Below are 25,323 nucleotides of genomic sequence, written 5' to 3' on the forward strand. Positions count from 1 at the left end.
GAAATTACCATGAAATAGCACTGTGACCAATTAGATACACTTCTGGGAAATTTTAGGTGTAGGTGAAGCACCTTTTTTCATTCATTCTCTGTTTCTGATAGTTTGGACCCAGAATCAAGCTGACAGTTTATCGTGTAGAGTAGCAGCCTCCTGAGGTCAGCGCCTCATGCATTGTCTGGTGCATGAGCATTTCATGATGCTTCCCAGAGTGAGTTCTTCCAACTCTAGCCTTCCTACTCCTTCTTGGAGATTCCCAGTACAGCCAGAGGCCCTGGGAAGTCTTGCTGTAAAGTCAGCTGTTTAACTGCTTAACCCAGCATCTCCCAAACTTATTTGACCAAAGAACCCCCTTTTCACGGGACACTGTTACTAACCCATTAAGCTAGTGTTCTGTGGAGCACACTTTGGGAAATGCTGAATTGGAGCCCAAATATTACATTCAGTGCAGAGAGAATCTGCTCGGAGATGTGGACTCCAGTGCTTTATTTTGCCCTCATTACAAATATTGATACTTTAAATGTTTGCTGAAACAGGCTGCTTTGACTCTTGGTGACTCGATACTTATTTATGGTGCTCAGCCAGTTATGCCCACGTACAGCAGGTGGGCAGCCCACAAATAAACTTAGTCCGTCTGTTTCCCGAGACACAGAATGCTTCCCCTTATCTTCCAGCATTAGCCTGGCCCTGAAGCCCCTCTTTCGAGGGTCTCTGCCTCTCAAGCTCCAGGCCAACACCAGCATAAAGGACCCCTCTCTGAAGGAAGGGAAGGAGGCTCAGCTGGAAATAACAAAATGGATTTTCTTACAGGGCTGACACACTGTTTTCCAAACCACTCTATAAATGTTTTGATTAAAAAGGGATTGCTCTGAGAGATCGCAGTTATTTGGATATATATATGTCCTTGTATATTAATGGGGGAAAAAAATCTGTCTCACTCCTTTAGAATCACACCTAATATGTCTTCCTTGAGGATTTATTACAACAGCCATTGTAGGAAAAAGCAGCACTCCGGTGCCTGCCACGACCCACCCATTTAACAAAGCAGCGTGTGGGACTTGGGCACAGATGGAGAGGCATTTGATTTTGTCTGCAGAAGCTTTGTGCTTTTTAATTTGGTCGCAATTCAGCCAAAAGCTTTGAAGCATTTTACCATTAAGAAATGGGGAAGCAAAGGCCAGGCACAGTGGCTCACACCTGTAATTCCCAGCACTTTGGGAGGCCGAGGCAAGCGGATTGCTTCAGCTCAGGAGTCCGAGACCACCCGAGGCAAGATGGTGGAAGCCTGTCTCTACAAAAATGCAAAAATGAGGTGGGTGTGGTGGCATACTCCAGTAGTCCTGGCTACTTAGGAGGCTGAGATGGGAGGATTGCTTGAGCCTGGGAGGTCGAGGCTACAGTGCAGTGAGCCCTGATCGTGCTACTGCAGTCCAGCCTGGGGGACAGAGTGAGACCCTCTCTCAAAAAAAAAAAAAAAAAAAAAAAAAAAAGGAAATGGAGAGGCAGGAAAGGATCAAAGGACAGGATATTCAGTGGAAGGGAACGTGTGGGTTCTTACATTTTGAAAGACAGGGACGCTTTGAGTCATGAGCGCGTGTAACGTCTACAAGGTGGGGTGGGAAAAACTGTAGAAATGGCCGGCTGAGGAAGCTGCGGGTCATCCGGTGTCTGTCTGTCATCACATTTAGTCAGATGGGCAGTGGAGTTCTGTACCTGCACCCACTGTTATGAAACGTCAAGTGAGAAAGAGGGCAGAAAAGTAGCCATCCTAAGACAGTATTTCCGAAAGCTGAGTGATAGCTGACAAATCTACTCAAAAACATTTTTTGAAAATGCTTGTCCCCGCCCCCCCCCAACAATACACACACAAAAACACTCTCTGGATCTTACGTCCTGTTTCAAGCACCTTTGCTTTGTAGTAATAAATGCAATGGGAGAATCCTGAAGAAATGCATAGAAACTGAAAAGAAGATTCTGATGGTTGCAACATACAACATATTAAAACTTTTGTGTAATGATTGTATTCTTTTATTTGTTTGGCTTTATGTGATAGTTAAAAAGTGCCAGTTGGTAAAACGTGCTGCTTATGGTGATAAAAATAAAGGTTGGTCCTATGATCCTTAAACGTAATTTCTTTGGAAAAATAAAATTAGATATTTGACTTATGGCATGTTTTCAATGAAGGTAACCCAATTAAAGTGTTTGTTGGGACCTACTTTATTTATGGATAAAATGGTTCTAAATTACATTCAATCATAAATCTTCATTTTGGTGAATAAGAGTAAATTATTATTTTTCATTATGCTTTGGCATATCTCCTTCTGGTCGTTTTTCAATGCCTTTTTTAAATCCTTGTTGAGGTTGAAGTTGTACTGCACTACAATTTGATATCCTCTGTTTTTTTGGGTTTTTTTTGTTTGTTTGTTTGTTTTTTGAGATGAAGTTTCGCTCTTGTTGCCCAAGCTGGAGTGCAAATGGCACAATCTCGGCTCTCTGCAACCTCCGTCTCCTGGGTTCAAGCGATTCTCCTGCCTCAGCCTCCTGAGTAGCTGGGATTATAGCCATGCGCCACCATACTCGGCTAATTTTTTTATTTTTGGTAAAGATGAGGTTTCTCCATGTTGGTCAGGCTGGTCTTGAACTCCTGACCTCAGGTGATCCACCTGCCTCGGCCTCCCAAAGTGCTGGGATTACAGGCATGAGCCACCGCGCCCGGCCTGTTTTTTTTTTTTTTTTTTTTTATAATGACGTAACAAGCATTTTTTTCTTTAAAATACATAATTTTAGACTCTCTTGCATTCTATTACTTGTTCTTTCCACAACTGTTAAACGTTTTGGCTGCTTTGAATTATTTATTTTAAGTAATCCTGTCATGAACATCTTGATGATTATCTGTTTCAGCCCAGAGTAGATTACCAAAAGTAAAATCATGCATCAGAGTGTGATTGTTTTTAAGACTCTAGACAAAGTCTTGGTGCCTTTCTTATTGAGCTGAGTGAACCCTTTTCAGTCTCCTAACAGGGAACTTTGTTTGTCTTGGTAACTCAGGGACATTATTTATCTGTAGTCCTTTATGACTATTAGGGTGATTTTTTTGGTGGTGTTGAGACAACAAAGTCAGCTCTGTTGACCAGGCTGGACTGCAGGGGCATGATCTCAGCTCGCTGCGACCTCTGCCTCCTGGGCTCAAGCGATCCTCCCACCTCAGCCTCCCAAGTAGCTTGGGACTACAGGCACATGCCACCACGCCTGGCTAAGTTTTGTATTTTTTTTTTTGTAGAGATGAGGTTTCTCCATGTTGTCTGTGCTGGTCTTGAATTCCTGAGCTCAAGTGATCAGCCTGCCTCAGCCTCCCATAGGGCGGGGATTGCAGGTGTGAGCCACTGTGCCCCAACATTGGGGTGATTTTAACAGCTACTGATTCCATGACCCAAACAAGTCTACTCCCATCCCACCCTGTTTTGCTCTTGCTTCAAGGGTCTAGGTGATGATATTTCCAAACTTGTTAGGAATTATCACCAATCAATACTCAATAAGGCTGAGATGAGAGATCTCAGTAGCAAATATGGAGTGCAGATGCTTGTAACACCTGCTTCATGACTGGCTCAGGTTTCTGCAGGCTCTCTTGATAAGTAGGGGCACTAATGTGGTCTAGTAAATTCTTCAATGATATATATTAAACTTCATAGGAACCTGAACCTGAAAAGAAGCAGCACACTTCACCTACTGCCCTGCAGTGTTGACCCAATTTTTAAAGTTTTCTTCCCAAACGACTTTGCTATGTTTGATTCCTTTAGGATTGTGATAGCTTTTCTGTAAAATCCTTCCAACCTCAAGTGAGTATTCTAAATCATGACATCATTTTCTAATTGAAGTAAGATAGTCACATTTTAACCCTTATTAATATAAACAATTTATTTCAGCTATGGTTAAGATTTCTTTCTCAGCACTATCTATTAGCTATTCTGGTCAACAGATCAGCTTGAGCAGGTAAAAAAGAAAAACCATAAAAGACCCTCACTAATTATCAATTTTCGCCTGGTCCTGGAAAAAAAAATCATTAAAAGACATAACCAGTATTCTAGAAGTAGATTTCTTTTTTTTTTTGAAACTGAGTTTCGCTCTCGTTGCCCAGGCTGGAGTGCAGTGGCGCGATCTCAGCTCACCACAACCTCCGCCTCCTGGGTTCAAGCAATTCTCCTGCCTCAGCCTCCCTAGTAGCCGGGATTACAGGCATGCGCCACCACACCCAGCTAATTTTGTATTTTTAGTAGAGAGGGGGTTTCTCCATGTTGGTCAGGCTGGTCTCGAACTCCTGACCTCAGGTGATCGGCCCGCCTCTGCCTCCCAAAGTGCTGGGATTACAGGCATGAGCCACCGTGCCCGGCCAGAGGTAGATTTCTTAACTAGCATATCAGCCTTCAGCATGTCTCTAAGCTTAAAATATAATCAAAGCTAAAGCTGACATTTATGTAAAGTTTATAATGTATGCAGTCACCAGTTTAGAGTCATAGTATAGATGTGGAATTATACTTTTGGTTTGTGGAGGTAATGAGGAAAAAAAAAAACGGTTCCCAGATGAAGCATAACAAATTAAATCTCAGTAGTGTGTGTATATAAGCCATGCATACAAGGAGTTCAAACTACCACTTGCACAGTGGTATGTGGCTCTTTTCCATCTCGTACTCTATGGTCTCATGGCCACGTCGCGGTGTCTGTTCACTTCCATGAAGAGGAGAGGTTCTTGTCCACCAACACCTGTGAACCGTAAGACCAGTGAGTGCCTTTAAACTTGTATTTCAAGTTGTACCCCTCCCCCACTTACCCCATGTCTCATCAGAGCCATACTTTCTAGCCTGAGGTAGATCATTACGTAAAATCCATCCGATGTCACAGGCCATCAGTGGTCTTGGGGAGGGGGTCTCATTTTTGTCTGGGAAGTAGTGTACTTTCCAAGTAGCAATTTATATTTAGGCCTTAAATTGTGTAAAATGACATAATGGAAAACACCTTGGGATAGGATAAGCATTTCAACAGAAACAGAACACCTTCTGTAAACAACATTGTACAATTAGACTATTGTTCTGTACTTAAAAAGGAAAAAAGCAACTTTCTGGCCGGGGGCAGGGTGGTGCATAGAAAACCACCACATTTCAAAAGGTGTATTAAAAAAAAGCCCTCGCTCAGCTCAAATTAGAGAAAGAAATGACAAGAATTCAGAACTGTCAGGCTGCTTCACTTCCTTTTTTGTTTGTTTGTTTAATTTTTTTTTAACCTGTAATTTAGGAAAAAAATAAATTACTCCAGCAAGTGTTCGTGCTACCTCAAGGTATTCTATAGGTAATGTGGAAGCTAGGTACTGCCCAGGACCTCCTGGCTTTGTCTGCCGAAGCTGGCCATCCAATCCCTTGCTCTGGGAGGGAGGGGGATGAGTTTGATGTCTGTAAGAGAACCCCACCCTGTAGGGAGGAGAGAAACAATAACACACATGGAAGAATTAGGTTCTGAGCAATGAGGGGACTGAGAGTAAGTGTAGTTGATATTTAGGAGAATTTCCTCCATTTTTCTGGACAATGGGTTCTTGGTCCTGGAGGGATAAGGAAATACTTGGAGAGGAGAAAAAACCACAGAGAACTTTCCAGCTATGGAGTGAGAGCTAGGTCAGGCCTGGAGACCTGGAATGGGTCATAAAGAGGGGATTGCCCATGAAAGTTGGGGGTACACAGTAGAGACTCTCCTGACTAGAAGAGAAGTGTGTTGGTGGTACCAGTTGGGTTTTTAGAGAATGAGGACATATCCTGGAGGGCTTTGGAAGCCAGACTCTGAGATATTTCAGTGATGATGGAAACAACATATCCCAAGAAGTCTTCCATAGATAACTTCCAGGTCCTCCTTTTGCCTTTGTCCTTTATTCTTAGGAGAGGAAAAAAGAAAGTGGGATAGGTATATTAAGTCCAGTGAGCCTTTATTTTTTAAACAGAATAAATGTGTTTATTTCTCATTTTACAGTATTGGCCCCAAGTCTCAGAGCATTCAGCTCTCTTCTTTATGAGCATAGAGAACTCTGGACTTGTCTCCTTATGGGGTTTAGAATTTTTAGGGTCTTACTGAAGACAGAGATGTCATACCTAGATTGTTTTAGCCTTACCCCTTAGAGCTTTGTTGCACTATCGGTCACAAACTGCTTATTTCTTATTTATTTCACCAGTAGCACAGTTAAAATTAAGAGTGTGTCCATCACAGGTGTACAGAGATGTGCCTGTACTCCATCAATAGAAACATGACACCATCTGTTGGCAATGTAGAAGATGACACCATGAAGATGTGTCATTGAGGGAGAGTCAGGTGTTAAATCCGCGATTACAAAGAGGTCTGACTTTTGGGGTGCTGCTAGCTGATAAAGAATGCTCATTAAGCAAGTTGCTCTCTACAAATTACTCTCACTGCATTTCATAGGCACCTTTTCAAACAGATAAAATGTTTGGGTGTATAAATCTCAGAATGGTAGGAAAAGAACAGACCAGAAATTGTGGCCCTGTGTTGAAGGTGATGGTAAATAAAATAGTTCTTGTCATATACTATGTGGCATAAGTTAGGGAAGGACGAACGCATTTCTCGAAGAGATGTGAGGGGTAGGGGTGGTTGAGAGGGTGAGAGAACACCTTGGTTCTTGCTGCAGTGATCCAGAAATCCAATTCCTGAGTAAAATGCAGTCTTCTTAAACCTCTTGCGTTCACCCCTGATTTTCGTACTCATGAGGCCCATATGTGCATTAAAAAAATAAAACAAAAACGATGACCCAGTGTAGCAGAAAAACTAGCCCATCTCTTTGACAGAGGATTTTCGGTTAATTTATGCAGGCCTCTTTGCACTTCAGCATTTTTTCCACTGGTTGCTAAGCAACTGTTTGAGTTACTGCGCATGCCTTTTTTATGATAACTGTCATTATGATTACTTTTTAATTATACAACTGGGACTGTGGATTAAAACAGCATGTTGTCACTCATGCTTTGCCACTGCCTTCTAGTATTCTCACAAGCTCCTAGAATCACCTTCTGAAATTTTTATGGCAGTGATTTATGATTAATTTTTGATATTTCTGGCTTCACAAAGGAAGTAGAGATGGCATCCTAAGGGGAGTGAGACTTTTGTGAAAAATGACTGTATCACACACCACAAGCTGTTATTGATCTGAGTAGACCAAATCAGATATTAGGATCTTGAACCTAAATTGTGAATCTCTTTGTGCCTTTAACCACATCTGCTTCCAACAGTAAGTGATGTTAAAAGCTCATATGCTTTGTAGCCTGTGTTTGAAAATTACAAAAATGCTAAGCATTTGTTGCTATAGAACCTGCTTTCAAATAAACTTACCATGAATTTGGGGGAGGGTACAGCACTAATCCCAGAAATGTGAAGCATCCACACTTAAGCTTGTGAAACATGTTCTTCTTTCACCCAAATTGCTCTACACACACACAATGGCAGTTAGGCAAGATGAAGGGGTTCCTCTGGCAAGTAATAATAAAGGTATGTGTGGTTTACAGTATGTAAAATACCCTAAAGGAATAAGACCAAGAAAATAGTCAGCCAGTAGGTACGTACGAAGGCTTTTCACTTGAGTTTCCAGAGTATATTCTAACATATTATTTTGAGTTACTTTCTAAATACAATGTGAATTTGAAAACAAAGGAGTATGGAAATACAATGTTTAAATATGTATATTTTTATATATATGTACGTGTATATATATACATATATATTTACCAATTCATTTAAAAATGAAATTTTTAGCTAACAAGGATATTTTAAATATTTCTATCAAAATAAAGAGATATATTTGCTCTGAAAGGGAAATCCACAGTGTATTTCCCATATTGTATGTGTGACAGAAGTGGGGACCAAATTGTATTTTACTGTGATCTTAAAATTATCACAAGGGACATCAATCTCCAATAGAGTTGTGGGATTTTTCCTGACTTAAAAAGCTCCATATCTATATGCGTGGAATATAATTTACTTTGTTGACATGTTCTGAAATAAAAATAAAACCTTTCCTCAGTAATGTTTGATGTGGCTTGTTTTTGTTTGTTTCACCCATCCTACAGTTCAGGGCGACAGCTCAGTGAAGTCTTCATTCAGTTACCTTCAAGGAAAGAATTACCAGAATACTATGAATTAATTAGGAAGCCAGTGGATTTCAAAAAAATAAAGGTAGATATTTTGTTTACCAACTTTATTCTTCAAGTAAATAAAGGAGCAGTGTAAAGTCATTGAAATGGTTGTAGTTGGAGCTGACCGCCACTGATGGGTACCCAGGGCTCGCGACAGGAAAGGTTGGGATGTCCTTGTGCTTTTCCGTGAGTGTTACTTAATCATGTTGAGAGCTCACGTTATATTGCATTTTATTGAAGAGCTTTCAGGCTCCCTGCTCCCCCTGCCCACATTATTGCTCTTCTCATTTCCCATCATATGCTCCTCCTTGGCAAAAGGAATGACAGTGGGAGTGGGAGGGTGGACTTGGTGAATGGCGCCCCCTGGGGTTATGCAGTCCCAGATCCCTGGCAGGGCTTTATGCTGTGAAGACAAAGGGAAAATCAGGCTTTGTTAACTAAGTAATGATCGCTGAATTTTCCTCTCCCTCTTTTTTTCTCCATTTTCTCCAAAATTTCCATCAGGAAAGGATTCGTAATCATAAGTACCGGAGCCTAGGCGACCTGGAGAAGGATGTCATGCTTCTCTGTCACAACGCTCAGACGTTCAACCTGGAGGGATCCCAGGTCTGTCTTGTTAAGTTGTCTAAAAGTTCTTAACTGTAAATGTGCCCGTTGTTCTTTTTAAGTAGAATATTTCATTTTCTACCTCTTGAATCATTGCTACTGGCAGAAGAAAAATAACTAAAAGCCTATGTTCCTTGCTACCTGTGTAAGAAAATAGAGGCTTTGGCATCTGCAGATTACCTTTGTACCACAGCTGTGCTAGCGCCTACTCACACTTCTTTTCAAAGCTTATAGTCTTTTTTTTTTTTTTTTTTTTTTTTTTTCCTTTTTTGAGGCAGAATTTCACTGTCTCCCAGGCTGGAGTGCAGTGGTGCCTTCTCGGCTCATGGCAACCTCCGCCTCCCAGGTTCAAGCCATTCTTCTGCTCTCAGCCTCCCAAGTACCTGGGATTACAGGCACCCACCACCATGCCTGGCTGATTTTTGTATTTGTAGTACAGATGGAGTTTCACCATGTTGGCCAGGCTGGTCTTGAACTCCTGACCTCAGGTGATCCGCCTGCCTCGGCCTCCCAAAGTGTTGGGATTACAGGCATGAGCCACCACACCCGGCCTCAAAGCATATATTTTTTTTTCGAGATGGAGTCTCGCCCAGGCTGGAGTGCAGTGGCATGATCTCGGCTCACTGCAACTTCCACCTCCCTGGTTCAAGGGATTTTCCTGCCTTAGCCTCCTGAGTAGCTGGGATTACAGGCATGCGCCACCACGCCAGGCAAATTTTTGTATTTTTAGTAGAGACGGGGTTTCACCATGTTAGCCAGGCTGGTCTTGAACTCCTGACCTCAGGTGATCTGCCCACCTCAGCCTCCCAAAGTGCTGGGATTACAGGTGTGCACCACTGTGCCAGGCCTCAAAGCTTATATTCTAATTAGAGGAGGGATTCAAGTAAATCATTGAAGGTAATGCTGAAAGGCTGGCAGTACCATTTTTGCTTTTTTGGAGATTGTATATTTGATTACATTTACCTTTATTTTTCTGATTGTACTCTTGGATCAGGAGCTGAAACTACTAGAATTTAAGACAAAACAAACTATAGGAAAAAAAGAAACACTGCCTCTAATTGCTTTTTAATCCTTTTTATCAGCCCAATTGCAATTCTCTTTTTACTCCCCTTCTCCACAGTCAACAATTCTAAGAGTATATAAATGAACTGAATTTATTAAAATAACCAAGGTGAGGGCACTTTCATTTTAATTACACCTCAATTACTGTCACCTTATGTAGGACTTTTTTCCTGTCTGTATCTCTGGCCTGATGCCTTCAGACCCATGAAGAAGAAAGAAAAAGACAAAGATGTACCCCTCAACCAATGCAGTGTCAAGCCACCTTTAAATTCCTTAAGCCTGTTTCCTGATCATACCCTTCTGCCTGCACATCAATTTCAGTCATCAAACAAAGGAATAGAGAAATCTTCAGAATGTGCCTTGAACAGACTTAAACATTTCCAAGTTAATAGTAGTAGTATCTTGACCAAAACAGGAGGTCTTGAAAGCAAGCCTTCTGTTACTCAAGACACTCTCCAAGGAAAAAGTTAAGCTTGAAGCCAGGACATAGAAAGTAGAAGAATCAACAAAGAAGGTTTTGTGAATGACAGACAGTTTGTTTTAGTCTCTGGATAGATATTTGGATTCTTTATGTCAATATGGCATTATTATGATATACATCCAGTCCTTTTTTCTACAACCTTCCTATCTGTTTTCACTCTGACTGTCTCACAACTGAAATAAGGTGTCAAGTGGCCTCTTGACTGGTTTCTCCCCCAGGCCATCTGGACACTAATTTGTCTTTCTCTAGCCACCTTCCTATCCTGTTCATTTACTGCCTCTCTTCCCAACCTTTGAGGTTCCCCTGCACTGTCTAGAATGAATTTCATCTCTGTAGACTGCTTGCTGAGGTCTAAGGTAAGTCTTTAGCTTCATCTGCTACTCCTCAACCTAAACAGCCCATAGTCCATTCGGACTGATACTATGATCACCTGCTTCCCCAGTTACATTTCTTTTACTCTTTAAGATCATTCGAGACTCACATGCAGTTGTAAGATACAGTACAGAGAGATTCTGTGTACCTTTTACTTCTCAAGATGGAAACATCTTGCAAAACATAGGATAATATCTTTTTTTTTTTTTTTTTGAGATGGAGTCTCACTCTGTTGCCCAGGCTGGAATGCAGTGGTGCCATCTCGGCTCGCTGCAAACTCTGCCTCCTGGGTTCAAGCAATTCTTCTGCCTCACCCTCCCAAGTAGCTGGGATTAAGGCATGCACCACCATGCCCGGCTAATTTTTGTATTTTTTTTAGTAGAGATGGGGTTTCACCATGTTGGCCGGGCTGGTCTCGAACTCCTGACCTCGTGATCTACCCACCTCAGCCTCCTAAAGTGCTAGGATTACAGGTGTGAGTACCACACCTGGCCCAAGACAATATCTTAAGCAGAAAATTGACATCAATACAATTCCCAGATGCATCTCTTTTATTCTTGCCTCCTCATCTTTCTCATTTGTTTTCCTTTCTAAAAAGCCCCTCATTTCTCACCGCTGAAGGAATTCTTCTCATCTTTAAGATCCAGCTCAACTCTGATGTCTCTGGAAAATTCTGCCCTGATGGTCCCATCCTCTCTCTCTCTCGCGCGGGTCCTTTGTTCTGTCATACTCATACTCACTGCCTATATTGTTCATTTGGTGCAAACTGCAATTTGCCCAGTCACTTTTTTGAACGAGTAGGTCTTCTTTACAATAAAAGGAATATGTTCCTAAAGAGCAGGGGTTGTTTTATTTTCCTTTAAATTTTTAAAACACTGTGATTAAGAGACATAACAAAATTTATCATAATTTTTCAGTATACAGTTCAGTAGTGTTAAGTATATTCACTTTGATGGGCAACAGATCTTCAGAACTTTTTAATCTTGCGACTCTGAAACTGCGTGCCTACGAACAACTAACTCTCATCTCCTTCCCCCAGCCCCTGGCACCCACCATGGCACTTTCTGTTTCTATGAATTTGCCCATTTTAGATACTTCGTATGAGTAGAATCATAGAGTTACTTGTCTTTTTGTGACTGGCTTATGCACTTATGGACTTAGCGTAACAATCCTCCAGTTACAGGATTTCCTTCCTTTTTAAGACTGAATAATATTCCATTAAATGTATAGACTATAGTTGCTTATCCACTCATTTGTCGATGGACCCTTGGGTTGCTTCCACCTCTTGGCTATTGTGAATAATGCTGCTAGGAACATGGGTGTGCCAATGTCTTTTCAAGACGCCTCTTGTGATTCTTTATATACCCAGAAGTGGGGCTGCTGGATCATATAGTAGTTCTATTTTCAATTTTTTGAGGAAAAGGACCATTTTTGAACTTATATCTTTCAGCACCTACCCAGGGCCATGCTCAGACATGTGTATCCATTAAAAATAGAGTGTTGATTGGATAAGTGTTGGCTGCTACTGATAAACTCAGTAATAAGGAATAGCCCCCACTTGCTAGGGGCACTGCATTTTAAAGAAGATTGCTTTACCACAGTCTTACTACAGCATTTGGTAGAACAATTCAAATAAGAAATGTAGTTTTAAAAAATACCATTTTTGTTGTCCAATATGAGGATATTTTATCTACTATTCTCCTCCAAGCATCCATGCACTTTGAAATAATTTCAACTGCATTTGGACTTTCTGTATGAATGTGTATGTCTGTATTTGGGCTTGGCGTTTTGCTACTGGGTTTTCATGTGGGCATAAAAGCTAACGGTGACATTTCTACTAAAATTCATGTGAATTAAGCTGGTGTATTGCATAAGGAAGAGTTCACTGCCATGGTAACTCAGCTTGCAGTTTTAACAGATGCCCCTTTGACCATTTAGATCTATGAAGACTCCATCGTCTTACAGTCAGTGTTTAAGAGTGCCCGGCAGAAAATTGCCAAAGAGGAAGAGAGTGAGGATGAAAGCAATGAAGAGGAGGAAGAGGAAGATGAAGAAGAGTCAGAGTCCGAGGGTAAGCCCAGACATTCGGGTCCTGTACATCTTTGCCCCTCCTCACCTGCATAGCTGTCTCCACAGATGTTCACAGAAGAGACTTTAGAGTGGGGCAGATCTGGATTGGAGCCCTTATTCCACTTTGTCCTTGCTGGGCAACCGGTGGCCATGTCCTTATCCCTGCTCATGCTCAGTTTTCTCATCTATAAAACTGAGGTCATAAAAATGACCTCCAAGCATGTAAAATGTTTAGCATAGGCTGGGCTCCTAGCAAACACTGTTTTATTTCTTTTATTTATTTATTTTTGAGACAGGGTCTCACTCTGTCACCCAGGCCGGAGTGCAGTGGCATGATCTTAGCTCACTGCAACCTCCACCTCCCAGTAGCTCACTGCAACCTCCACCTCCCAGGTTCAAGTGATTCACCTGCCTCAGCCTCCCGAGTAGCTGGAATTACAGGCGTGTGCCACCACGCCCGGCTAATTTTTATATTTTTAGTAGAGATGGAGTGTCACCATGTTGGCAAGGCTGGTCTCAAACTCCTGGCCTCACGTGATCCACCCGCCTCGGCCTCCCAAAGTGCTGGGATTATAGGCACAAGCCGCCACACCTGACCTGCAAACACTTTCTGAATGTTGCCTTTGAATATTAGCCTACTACACATTTTCTACAACACTGCTGCTAATGCCACCTATCTTCTCTTCTTTACCACGGTGGTTCTCAAACCTGGAGGGCTTGAAGAATATGCCAGTGTTTGATCCAGTAGCCTGTTGTGGGGCCTGAGAATCCGTATTTCTGGCAAATTCCCAGGGGGAACTGATGATGTTGGGCCAAGGACCACACCTTGAGAATCACAGCTTTAGAAAATAATTGTCAAACTGAGTTGGAACTGTGAATTTTGCATAGAATTTTTTTTTTGCCAGGGGAAGAGGGGTGATGACAGGGTACTGTCTTTATTTAAAATGTTGATAGTTTGTTTATCATGGATTTGGGGGGCATTAATTTGGGTTTTTAAAATATTTACCTTTTAGGATATTAGTTGATGACTGGGTTTTGGTGCCCCCTTAAATTTTACACCCAAGGTGCGTGCCTCCATTGTTTGACCCTAGTTCCAGCCGTGACTGATAACCCAAATATTCCAAAGGTTAAGGGTGCTGTCAGAAGTTGAAAATTTCTTCTTAGTGAGGCATGTTGGCTCACAAATATAATCCGAGCACTCTGGGAGGCTGAGGCAGAAGGATAGCTTGAGGCTAGGAGTTCAAGACCAGCCTGGATAACATAGCAAGACCCTATCTCTACAAAAATGTTTGTAAAAAGAAATAGCCAAGTGTGGTGGCACGTGTCTATAGTCCCAGCTACTCAGGAAGCTGAGGCAGGAGGATTGCTTAGTCTAGGTGTTCAAGGCTGCAGTGAGCTATGATCATACCGCTGCCCTCCAGCCTGGGCAACAGAACAAAACTCTATCTAAAAAAAAAATTTTAAATATAATTAATAAATATTTTAAAACATAAAATTTCTTCTTTCCTATGTGTGTCTTCACTGTATACCTCTCAAAGTAAAGTACTAAAACCTATGTTTTACAGTATAAGCCGAGCCCAGTGGCTCATGCCTGTAATCCTAGCACTTTGGGAAGCTGAGGTGGCTGGATCACTTGAAGTCACCAGTTTGAGACAAGCCTGATCAATATATTCATAATAAGTACAAAAATCATGCCACAAAACTGTGTGCTATGTTTTTATAAACAAATTTATGTGTGGAAAAAAAGGTAACGTCTCAAAATATTACATGTATGTAGAGATATAGAATTACACGTTTTTTTACCTTTTCAAATATATTAAAAGTATAGACATGCTTTTAAAAAATTATTAGGTTTCTAATTACATGTTAATACAGATGATTTGGAAAATGTAATGATTTTTGTACTTATTATGAACACTTTCCATGGCAATGAGGGTTTTTCTACAGCAACATATATTAATATGTATAATACATATTAACATTCATTAATGAATGTGAATGTACTGTAACGTGTTAATTATACTCTGTTAATCAGGCTGTTTCCCAATAATGCTGTCCTGAGCATTTTACCCATAGATTATTGAAAAGATGTAAAATGTATGTGATGTATACACATTGCCACAGAGAATGGAGTTTCCATTCTTGCCCTCAACATACATAAGCGACTCTTTCCCAACGTCATTTTCTATTATCTATATTCTAGTTAGTGATTCTGCCTTTTATTTGTTATGAATTTAAACTGTCCCAAATTCATGTAGTTATTCCTTTGTTCTAGCATTTGAATACATCTGCATCATCTATTTTAGCTATATATTTCATTATTTTAGAGCCAGATTTCTAATCTGTTTTCAAAGAGCTGCTCTCTTCCCCCATCCATCAATTTAGTTTAATTTCTCAAGCCTTGGTATATTAATTTTCTATTGCTGCTATAACAAATTACCACAAACTTAGTGACTTTAATACAACACAAACTTATTACCTCTTGTGGGTCACAGGTTCAGCATGAGTCTCCCTGGACTAAGATCAATGTGTCAGCAGCCTGCATTCCTTTCTGGATGCTCTAGATAGGAATCCCATTTCCTTGTTCATCCTGGTTCTCAGCAGAGTTCAATTTCTTGTGTTCGTAGAAACAAAGTTCCCACTTTCTTGCTGGCTGCCAGTGGAAGGCTGTTCCCAACAGTGTTCTTTGGCTCATTGCCTCCCCACCCCTACCCCTTGTTCCAACTTTAAAGCCAGCAATGACAGGTACAGTCCTTCTCATGTTGTGTCTCCATGAATCTCTCTTTTGCGTCTTCCTCTTCCACGTTTAAGGATGCAGATGATTAGACTGGGCCCACCTGGATAATCCACTATAATTTCCCCATCTCAGGGTCAGACAATTAACAGTCTAAAATTCCTTTTGCCATGTAATATAACATATTCAGAGGTTCTTGGATTAGGATATGGACATCTTGTGAGGAGATGATATTCTGTCCACCACACTTGGTAGCTAGAACTTTTCATAGGTGCATATGGTTGTATCATAAAACCTTAGGAAGCTGTTTATAGGGCTCACCTAATGGTCCAGTTTATTAGCCTGCTTGTCCATAGTCTGTCAGGTGGGTTTTTTGGAGAGACATATCCACTGACGCGTGCCTGACAGCATTAGAGTGCGCCACACTCCAAGGCACATTTAGATTACGCTCTCAAGGATACATTTTCTTACCCCTATTGCCTGTCTTCTGCCCATTCATTTCCTATACTCCTGTGTCAGGGAGAGCCCACACCTGTATAAATGGACATATTTCACTTTGTCTTTCCACACTGTTTAGAAATGCCCATTATGACTGGCTTCTTTCATCTATTTCTTTCGACGTCCTACATCTTTCCGTTTTCATTAGTAGGTAGGCCTTTTCATCTCCAGTCTCTTCTTCTTCTCCTAAGTTACTCCACCCAAAGCAAAGGGCCCCACCTTATAGCTTGTCAAGCAGCAGACAGTGGGTATAATAGATAGAAGCCTTGGCTAGGAGTACTATTTTGTGTATTAGGATTTGGAATGGAGGAAAGGCAAATGCTACCACCACACTTGAGTTCATAACAGCACAGCTCTCATCTCTTCTGTTAGCTTATGTTTCTGTGGGAGATTTTAGTTTTGGAAATATTTTGTGGGTCCCTCTACTTCACAAAAGAAGTCTGAAACAAACACTCTCATCTCCTTCTGGAGCTAGGATTCCCTCTATGACAACATCTATTTCTAGATGCCTTGAGACCCACCAAACATGGTAGTCTAGCAAAGCTAGCTTGAATGAGAGACCCACATTTTCAGTGCCTTCATCATCAAATACCAAAAATGGTATTCTGTGGATACCTATCCCAAATAGCTACCATGGAGCAGATTGTCTTTGTTCTTTGGGATATGTACCTATATTTGTGATATTGTACCTTGAACTCTTCCAAGTGTTTCCATTGGTATCCCCAGAATAGTCCTGTGAAGGTGGAAATGGGTGCAGTCTTTCTGAAGGCTAATCTGACAGAGCACTGTTAGAAATTTACCATATGGACATGTCCACCATACCTCCCTCAAATTCTACCAAGATACATTGAAATAGGTTCACAGCAGCTTTGTTTATACTAGCAAAAAAAGCAGCAAACTTCAGCCCTCATCATATGAGACTGATTAAATAAATTATAGTATACCATACGATGGAAAATTTTCAGGTATTTAAAAGAATTAGGCAGGTATGTATGAGGCTTTACCTATAAATATCCCACATATGTGAGTAAACAGCCAAGTGGAGAATATGGACATGTATAAAGATCCCTTTGGGATAACTACATAAAGAATTCAAGTATGTACGTGTGTATATATACTTACTTGAATTCTTTATATTCTATAGAGAGACTTTTATAGAATATGTAGAATCACACACACACACATACACACAGAGAGAGAGAAATGGATGTACTTGCAGGTATGGACATAAACATTTTTTTTCCTGGAAATAATTAGTTATAGGGAAAGAGACTAGGAATGGGGGAAAGGAAGCATTCAAAAGTGTTTTCTTTTTACTTTCCATTTTGTACCTTTATGTTAAAAATATGATTGAACTATTTGAATTTTCTTTTTAAGTCAATGGAGTTATCTACATGGTAAAATTATTGGCCTTTAAACTCTTTACATTTATTTATATTTTTAATGTAAAAGTTCTATTAAATGATTGCCCAACACCTCCACAAGTAGAAAACACTTCCCCTCATTATCCTTGGTCAGCCATTGGGAGACAGGTGAAGGATCCAGCCCCACTGTCCTCCATGAGACCTCGGTCCCTCTTGTTGCCTGTTTAGCGTGACTACATCATTTATCTTCCAAAAGAAGACAGGTTGGCAAGTGAAAGGGGTCGCTGACTAGACAGAACCACACAGAACAGGCATAAACCGGGAATGTTCTGGGCACTCTGGGATGTTTGTGTTGTCTGTAGGTTGGTGATAGTCTTACCACCTATACAAAGATCTCCTTGTGATTACTCACTGGTGTCTATTTCATTTGCTTTGGTTTTAGCAAAATCAGTCAAGGTGAAAATTAAGCTCAATAAAAAAGATGACAAAGGCCGGGACAAAGGGAAAGGCAAGAAAAGGCCAAATCGAGGAAAAGCCAAACCTGTAGTGAGCGATTTTGACAGCGATGAGGAGCAGGATGAACGTGTAAGTGTAGCCGACTGGGACTGAAGGCGGAGACGCCCTCTCCCCTGCTTGCTGGCCTCTTGCATTTCCATGCCCCTTCAGCCTTTTCGCTTTATTACCCAGGACTGGAAATGTCAGGATTTAGTGAGATTTCATTATTGAGGGATGTGAACGGAGCTGTATGATTTAGAACAAAGGATTGGGGGCTTTGTTTATTGCCTTTTTAATAGTCTTCAAAAATGAAAAACTACCAAATCAAGCTTCCCTTTCCCCCTTTTTAATCTTCCCACATGCTTTCTTATAAATATGGTTTTCCCCGTAGCCAGTTAATATTTTACATGCATCACAGCCAGCATGGTGCCTGGTACATAACAGTAGATTAGATGGAAGAATGAGAAAAACTGTTATGACGTCAGAGTTATTGGCTCGAGTTGCTACTTAAGGGACCATGTAAAAACTCAAAGGACTTTTTAAGTACCTAGGGGTGTTATTTTTCATATTTGAAAAATTCAGTGAGCATCTATTGAGCCAGGCCTTGTAATAGGTACCTCCCTGTGTGGTAGCATATTAAATACTGATGTCGGCATCGTGAGATAGATGTCACTCTCAAATAACATGTTATGGAAATGGTTAGGTTATGGGTGTTTTGCTACAGATCACGTCGCAGAGGTGGAATTCGGACCCGAGTAGCATAACTCAGTCTAGTGTGCTATGTCTGACTGGGCAGCAAGGTAGAAGAGTGGGCAGAAGCTCCTAATACCTTGCCTTTTGAAATACCCTTCATTTCATCCATTCACTTTCCAGAGGATGGTTTCCTGGCACCCACATTATTTTCTTTCTGGAAAGATAAATTTCCCTTTTCCTAGTTTGATTTTCCTTCAACACATTACCATTTTGGTAAAATTTCAGAATTATGATCTCACCCCAGCCTTAACCCTTGATGCAAGCATTTTCAAATACATTTTTCTTTAGGAGATGTCAAATGCAGGGTATTTTTTTTTCTCCCATGAATTTTCTAAAACCTGGGGCTGAAAAAGAGAAAATATTAGCCATAAACCTTTCAAGCCAAAGTGAAAGGGCACAAACAATAGCTTAGAGGGTGGGCTTTGCTTTGGGGTTTTTCAGTAAGAAAAACTTCTCAGCTTAGAGACTGTCGATGCCTCTTTAATGTGTTTCTGTCCTCCCACGGAAAGAGATTTGGCGAGTTGTTTCCAAAATGTCATTTTTTCCTACTGGCCTCTTGATGGTTTGTTGTTATATCTTCTTTTTCTTGCATGTGATGTTACTTCATTTTATCTTCTTATTTTTACTTTTAGGAACAGTCAGAAGGAAGTGGGACGGATGATGAGTGATCAGTATGGACCTTTTTCCTTGGTAGAACTGAATTCCTTCCTCCCCTGTCTCATTTCTACCCAGTGAGTTCATTTGTCATATAGGCACTGGGTTGTTTCTATATCATCATCGTCTATAAACTAGCTTTAGGATAGTGCCAGACAAACATATGATATCATGGTGTAAAAAACACACACATACACAAATATTTGTAACATATTGTGACCAAATGGGCCTCAAAGATTCAGATTGAAACAAACAAAAAGCTTTTGATGGAAAATATGTGGGTGGATAGTATATTTCTATGGGTGGGTCTAATTTGGTAACGGTTTGATTGTGCCTGGTTTTATCACCTGTTCAGATGAGAAGATTTTTGTCTTTTGTAGCACTGATAACCAGGAGAAGCCATTAAAAGCCACTGGTTATTTTATTTTTCATCAGGCAATTTTCGAGGTTTTTATTTGTTCGGTATTGTTTTTTTACACTGTGGTACATATAAGCAACTTTAATAGGTGATAAATGTACAGTAGTTAGATTTCACCTGCATATACATTTTTCCATTTTATGCTCTATGATCTGAACAAAAGCTTTTTGAATTGTATAAGATTTATGTCTACTGTAAACATTGCTTAATTTTTTTGCTCTTGATTTAAAAAAAAGTTTTGTTGAAAGCGCTATTGAATATTGCAATCTATATAGTGTATTGGATGGCTTCTTTTGTCACCCTGATCTCCTATGTTACCAATGTGTATCGTCTCCTTCTCCCTAAAGTGTACTTAATCTTTGCTTTCTTTGCACAATGTCTTTGGTTGCAAGTCATAAGCCTGAGGCAAATAAAATTCCAGTAATTTCGAAGAATGTGGTGTTGGTGCTTTCCTAATAAAGAAATAATTTAGCTTGACAAATGCAGCCTCTTTCTTTGAATTCTAGAGGATTGAAACCCTTGTGCCTGAAGTGGCAGTTTCCTGCAGAGGGCTGGGCAGGCTCTTGCTACTGAACACTGGATAGGGAAAAAAAGGGAGAGGTCGAGAGAGCCAGTCTCCTTGAAGTGGTCCAGCTATGTCCACCAGGGGAGCCTGTTGCACCCATGACTTTATTAAACAAACAGCAGAAGAGATGCTGCCATGGGCCAAGCCATATGAAGTCCCTGCTCAGCCTTAAATTCTGTTTCTTAGTTGGAAAATCTCTCTCTATTGCTATTTATGCCTTTTGATTTTGAAAGATTTCAAAAATATTCCATCGAAAGACTGGTTCAATGAACACCTATATACCCTCCACCTGAGATTCAACAATGATTAATAGTTCATCCCCACCCCGTTTTATTTTACCAAACCATTGGAAAATAAGGTGCCGTCAGTCATTACGATACTTCGCACCTAGTATTTCAGCACAAATCTAAGAATAAGCGTATCTTGTAGCCAACCACAGTCCTATATCATACCAAAAGGAATTAACTAACAATAGTTCCCTGATATCTAAGAAACAAGCCATAGTCACATTTTCCCAACTGTCCTAACATCATCTTGTATTTGTTTAGTTTTAGCCAGGATCTTTTCAAGGCTCACACTTTTTGTGTTTGATTGTAACATTTGTCTCAATATCTTTTTTAAAGTTCTCAAAAAAATAGCACAAAGATGGGCAATTTTTTTTTTTTTTTTGAGACGGAGTCTCACACTATTGCCCAGGCTGGAGTGCAGTGGCGCGATCTCAGCTCACTGCAAGCTCTGCCCACCTCCCCCCCACCCGTTTCACGCCACTCTCCTGCCTCAACCTCCCAAGTAGCTGGGACTACAGGTGCCCGCCACCATGCCCGGCTAATTTATTGTATTTTTAGTAGATACAAGGTTTCACTGTTAGCCAGGATGGTCTCGATCTCCTGACCTCGTGATCTGCCTGTCTCGGCCTCCCAAAGTGCTGGGATTACAGGCGTGAGCCACCGTGCCCGGCCGATTCTTTCTTAAGGAACTGGTGATGTGATGATGATAGGATCAAAATGGGAGAGTTTTCCTTCAACACTGCTGGGTTGGTGAAAGCTTCCTTTTTTAGAATGATCTAAGGAGAACTCCAGGATCCTTGCTTTTACATGTGAGGATTTGCCAATGCCGCATACTGCTGTGAATCCTGAAGGAAATTTGATCCACACAGAATACAGTCCTGAGAAACTTCTTTGTCTCTCTAAATGTCAACTCGTTTGTTAATTTCCAGTAGTCTGAGAGTTCAGGAGAAGTTTCCCTTCTCGGTTGGTTTCTCGGATTTGCTAACTGCAATAGGATTGGAGACCTCCATGAAACAGTATACCCATATTAGTTTCTCTTACTGAGATGATTTGGTATCAGTTCAAAGAAAACAATCATCTTTGCTTGCTTCTATTTCTGTATTTTCTGTATTTTTTGTGCTCTTTGCAATCTCTCCTTGGCTTCAGAAGCATTGCTGTTTCTAACGCCCTCAAAACCACTGTCTCCATCGTTCAGGATTTCTATTGTGTGAAGAATGTTCTCTAATCCTTCAAGGAGAATGTGTTATTCTCTTTGGCTATAATGGAAATGAGAGCCAGGGATGATCATTGAGAACAGGAGTCTCTTCTCCTTCGGGTGGGACTGGTGGTAAACAGTCCAGGTGATAATTGAGGTGGCAGCAGAGTGAGCATGCACTAACAAGAAGACGGGCCATCGCGAGGGCTAAGGATGGGGCGGGCCATCCCGAGCATGTGCCTATGCGGACCTGTTTACCACGTTGTGGCAGCCTTCTTGTTCAGCTCTAGTTGCTGAGCCCATCAGCGTAGTTCTTTCCAAGGTCAAAGGTGTTTTAGGAACAGAGGAAGGAATCTAAGAGTATCAGGCTATGTACTGATTGCGTTATTTTATTCAATTACAAGAACGTGAGGAAGGCATAGTTCTTGTTCCCATTTGACAAATAAAGATAATGCAAAGAAGAGATTGAAGAGCAAAGAGCTGTGCACCAAAAGTTGGAAGTTAGATTTGTTTGATTCCAGACCCCATATTCCTTGGAGCTTCCCCACCTCCCCTCAGTGAGTGAGGCCTGGAACTGATCTTGTTGATAAGCTTCAGGCACCCATTTACCTGGCACTTGCTGACACAATTGGGCTTACAGAGAAGTCCTGGCTCAGGTTTCTAGTTCCCGTGAGCCTTTCCACTGAGACCCAGTTTTCTTGGCTGGGCCCTGCTACTCTGGCTCTTCCTTCACAGTCCTCTGCAAGGGCCAGAATGGGGTCCTTAGGTCCCAGCTACTGATGGTTCCTAAAGGCTACTGACTTAGATATCACTACTGCCATCATCCACCCATCAGATATAATGCCATATGTATACGTAGTGACCAAGTTCATGTTTGCCCCACACATTGATAAGACCACGTGTTTTCTGAGAAAGAGGTTTTTACACCCCATCATCTCCATAGGTGCTGGACAGAGTAGGCTTAGCGTGCAATTATATCTTCAAGTCCTCCAGTTCCATATCCAACCAGACTGGAATTCCTAAGCACTTCCCATGTGGAGAGTCTAGAGCCACCACCAGTGCCACCTGAAGGAACAGACGCCTGACTGCCCCCCTATCCAAGCCTGGCCTCTTACTCTAGTGTCAGTCTGCTACGTGGACCCGAGTTGGCACACATCACAGCTGGATCTGCCTGAGTTATGCCACCAGAAACATGATTCTCAGACTATTTTCATAGGTCAGACCCTTAAAATGGGGTGTTTTAAATATGAACCTCTCAATTTCCCATTAGAGATATTATATAGCCAGAATATACTGGAACCAGATGTACTGTAGCAGGAATATAAAGGTTTTAAAAGACCTTTTTCCCTCTAAGGCTGCTTATTTATCTTTAAGTGTAATTATTCAGATGAGAAATTAGGATCATGGCCCTTAATTGGGAGTCAAATGTGTGGGTTATTCTGGATTTTGCCACAGCCTTATTTGAGTTTTGATTTCCTCTATAAAACGTGAAGAATAAGTGAGTCGTCCTGTAATTGCAAGCTGTGTAGTTGAGACATACTGTCGTGTTGTCAAAGGTTTGCAGTATGTTAGAAAAAATTGCTTGTAAATTAAATGTCATTAAAACATCCAGAAAGATTCTCAAAGTCAAGAAATAGACTGGAGATGGCTTTTAAGGGCCCTTCAATCATTGACAGTTTTGAAACCAGTGTTTCTCAGAGTGTGGTCCCCAAACTAGCAGCATCAGCATGACTTGGAAACATTGGAAATGCACATTCTCATGCCTCATCCCAGACCTGCTGAATCAGAAACTCTGAGGGTGGGGCCCCCTAATAGAACATACGCTCCAGATGATTCTGATATATACTCAAGTTTGAGAACCACTAGTCTATTAGGCTTTTAATAATCTCTATTATTTCATTCCTGAGGAACAATATGAGGCCATACTGGTCTTGATTTAGATCATCGGTACAGGCATATACACCCAGCACGCAATTGTCATTCTTCTAAAAAGAAAGTCACCATCAATGGGAATAATAGGAAAAGCTGAATATTTTTTTTTTCTCTCTCTGAAACGGCTTTTCTGTCTCGTACATTACAAGGCAGCAATCTTCATTTGTGCTTGACTTAACCTTCATTGAGAGTGATGTGGTGTAATACTTGGGGGAAATATCTTTGGTTTACTTAGCAGAAAGGTAGAGACATACTCTCCCTTTATGAATAAATGTTTTTCCCACAAGAATTTTAGGAGTCAATCTTATTCTTGAAGAAATGGGCACATCTAATCCTTTTCTTAAAATTTACTAAGAGCCTGCATCAAACTAGATAAAGTACAATTTCTGTTCTTATTTGTATATACTGTCATATAGTGTGTGAATCTGTTTTGCCTGGGGAGGAGTAATGAAAAATGATAGAGCATAGGGTCAGGAATAATGACTGATAGGGCTAGAATCGCTAAACCTTGGTCCAGGTGAACTGTATTCATCCCTGGTGTTGTTTAGGACATTGAGCTTCATAGAAGGAAAGTGACGTGTTCCAAATGCCTGAGCCGCTTTATGCAAGAAGGTGTTTGTGTTCTGCGTCACTTTCCGTAAGGGCTAAGTTGAATAATACAAGGCAACTAAGTCTGGCAACTACAGGGAAGCAAGTTTTCCGTTTCTAAACACTAATTTTGCTATACACAAGAACGAGGCCTCTTTGTGAACCCAAACGCAGTTATGAAGCAAGGCTCACTGTGGGATTATAAACCTCAAAGTGAACAGACTCATAGTCCCTCAAGCAAATACATGTATTTCTTAATTCTCTTGTAAAAATTTTAATTAAATTCCTCTTCTAGGATTATAAAATGGACATGTATCCACCACAACCAGCGAAATAATACAAAGAAAATTAATTTAGCATTCACCTCCCCCACTAGGCAATCAGCTTTAATAGTCTGATGTGGTTACTTCTGCACCTTTCTTCTTGCACACATTAACACATACAAGCATAGAGGCTATCAAATGCCACTTCCCCAGTTATCTCAATACAACCTGAGACTGGTGCAGTGGCTCATGCCTGTAATCCCAGCATTTTGGGACGCCAAGGCAGGTGGATCACTTGAGGTCAAGAGTTAAAGACCAGCCTGGCCAACACGGTGAAACCCCCATCTCTACTAAAAATACAAAAATTAGCCAGGCATGATGGTGCACGCCTGTAATCCCAGCTACTTGAGAGGCTGAGGCATAAGAATTGCTCGAACCCAGGATGCAGAGGTTGCAGTGAGCCAAGATCATACCACTGTACTCCAGCCTTGGGGACACAGCGAGACTCCATCTCAACAAAAAAAACCAACAACATATAACCTGATAATAAGATTAAGTTGAATTTATTGTTTACTGTGGTAAGGGAGGCCACCACCTTGATGGAGTTTGGTAGTTTCTTTGAAGGAGGTCAAGATCAGATTTTATTGAAATTTAAAGTGTGTCAATACAGGGATTTGGCTAGGGCAGGTCATGACACAGTTTAAAAATTGTGGAAATAGCAAGGTGAGAATTTTGACAACAACTTGCCTAAGTAAGAGTCTCCTGGAATAGTAAAATGATAATAAACACAATGGAATAGGAAAGCCATTTTAATG

General features: G+C 40.9%; 1 protein-coding gene and 1 long non-coding RNA gene across 9 annotated transcripts in view; one reads left to right on the plus strand and one right to left on the minus strand.

The window, feature by feature from the left end:
- Positions 1–20,155, plus strand: part of SMARCA2 (SWI/SNF related BAF chromatin remodeling complex subunit ATPase 2) — a 178,274-nt gene extending 158,119 nt beyond the window's left edge. For all 7 annotated transcript variants that reach the window (NM_003070.5, NM_139045.4, NM_001289397.2 and 4 more), the window contains 5 exons: positions 8,106–8,211; positions 8,676–8,777; positions 12,631–12,763; positions 17,801–17,943; positions 19,239–20,155. In NM_003070.5, coding sequence (NP_003061.3) covers positions 8,106–8,211; positions 8,676–8,777; positions 12,631–12,763; positions 17,801–17,943; positions 19,239–19,274 — 520 coding nt within the window. In that variant the 3' untranslated portion in view covers positions 19,275–20,155. The remainder of the gene's footprint in view (positions 1–8,105; positions 8,212–8,675; positions 8,778–12,630; positions 12,764–17,800; positions 17,944–19,238) is intronic.
- LOC107987043 (uncharacterized) overlaps positions 1–25,323 on the minus strand; it is a 70,735-nt gene that overhangs the window by 1,581 nt on the left and 43,831 nt on the right. Inside the window, exons 3-4 of one of the 2 annotated variants that reach the window (XR_007061395.1) lie at positions 7,372–7,557; positions 1,556–4,755 (exon numbers count right to left, since the gene is read on the minus strand). This is a non-coding gene — a long non-coding RNA (uncharacterized LOC107987043). Of the gene's footprint in view, positions 1–1,555; positions 7,558–25,323 lie in introns of both variants that reach the window. The other variant, XR_001746600.2, reaches the window with a different exon arrangement.

Source organism: Homo sapiens, chromosome 9, assembly GCF_000001405.40.
Source record: "Homo sapiens chromosome 9, GRCh38.p14 Primary Assembly".
NCBI lineage: Eukaryota > Metazoa > Chordata > Mammalia > Primates > Hominidae > Homo > Homo sapiens.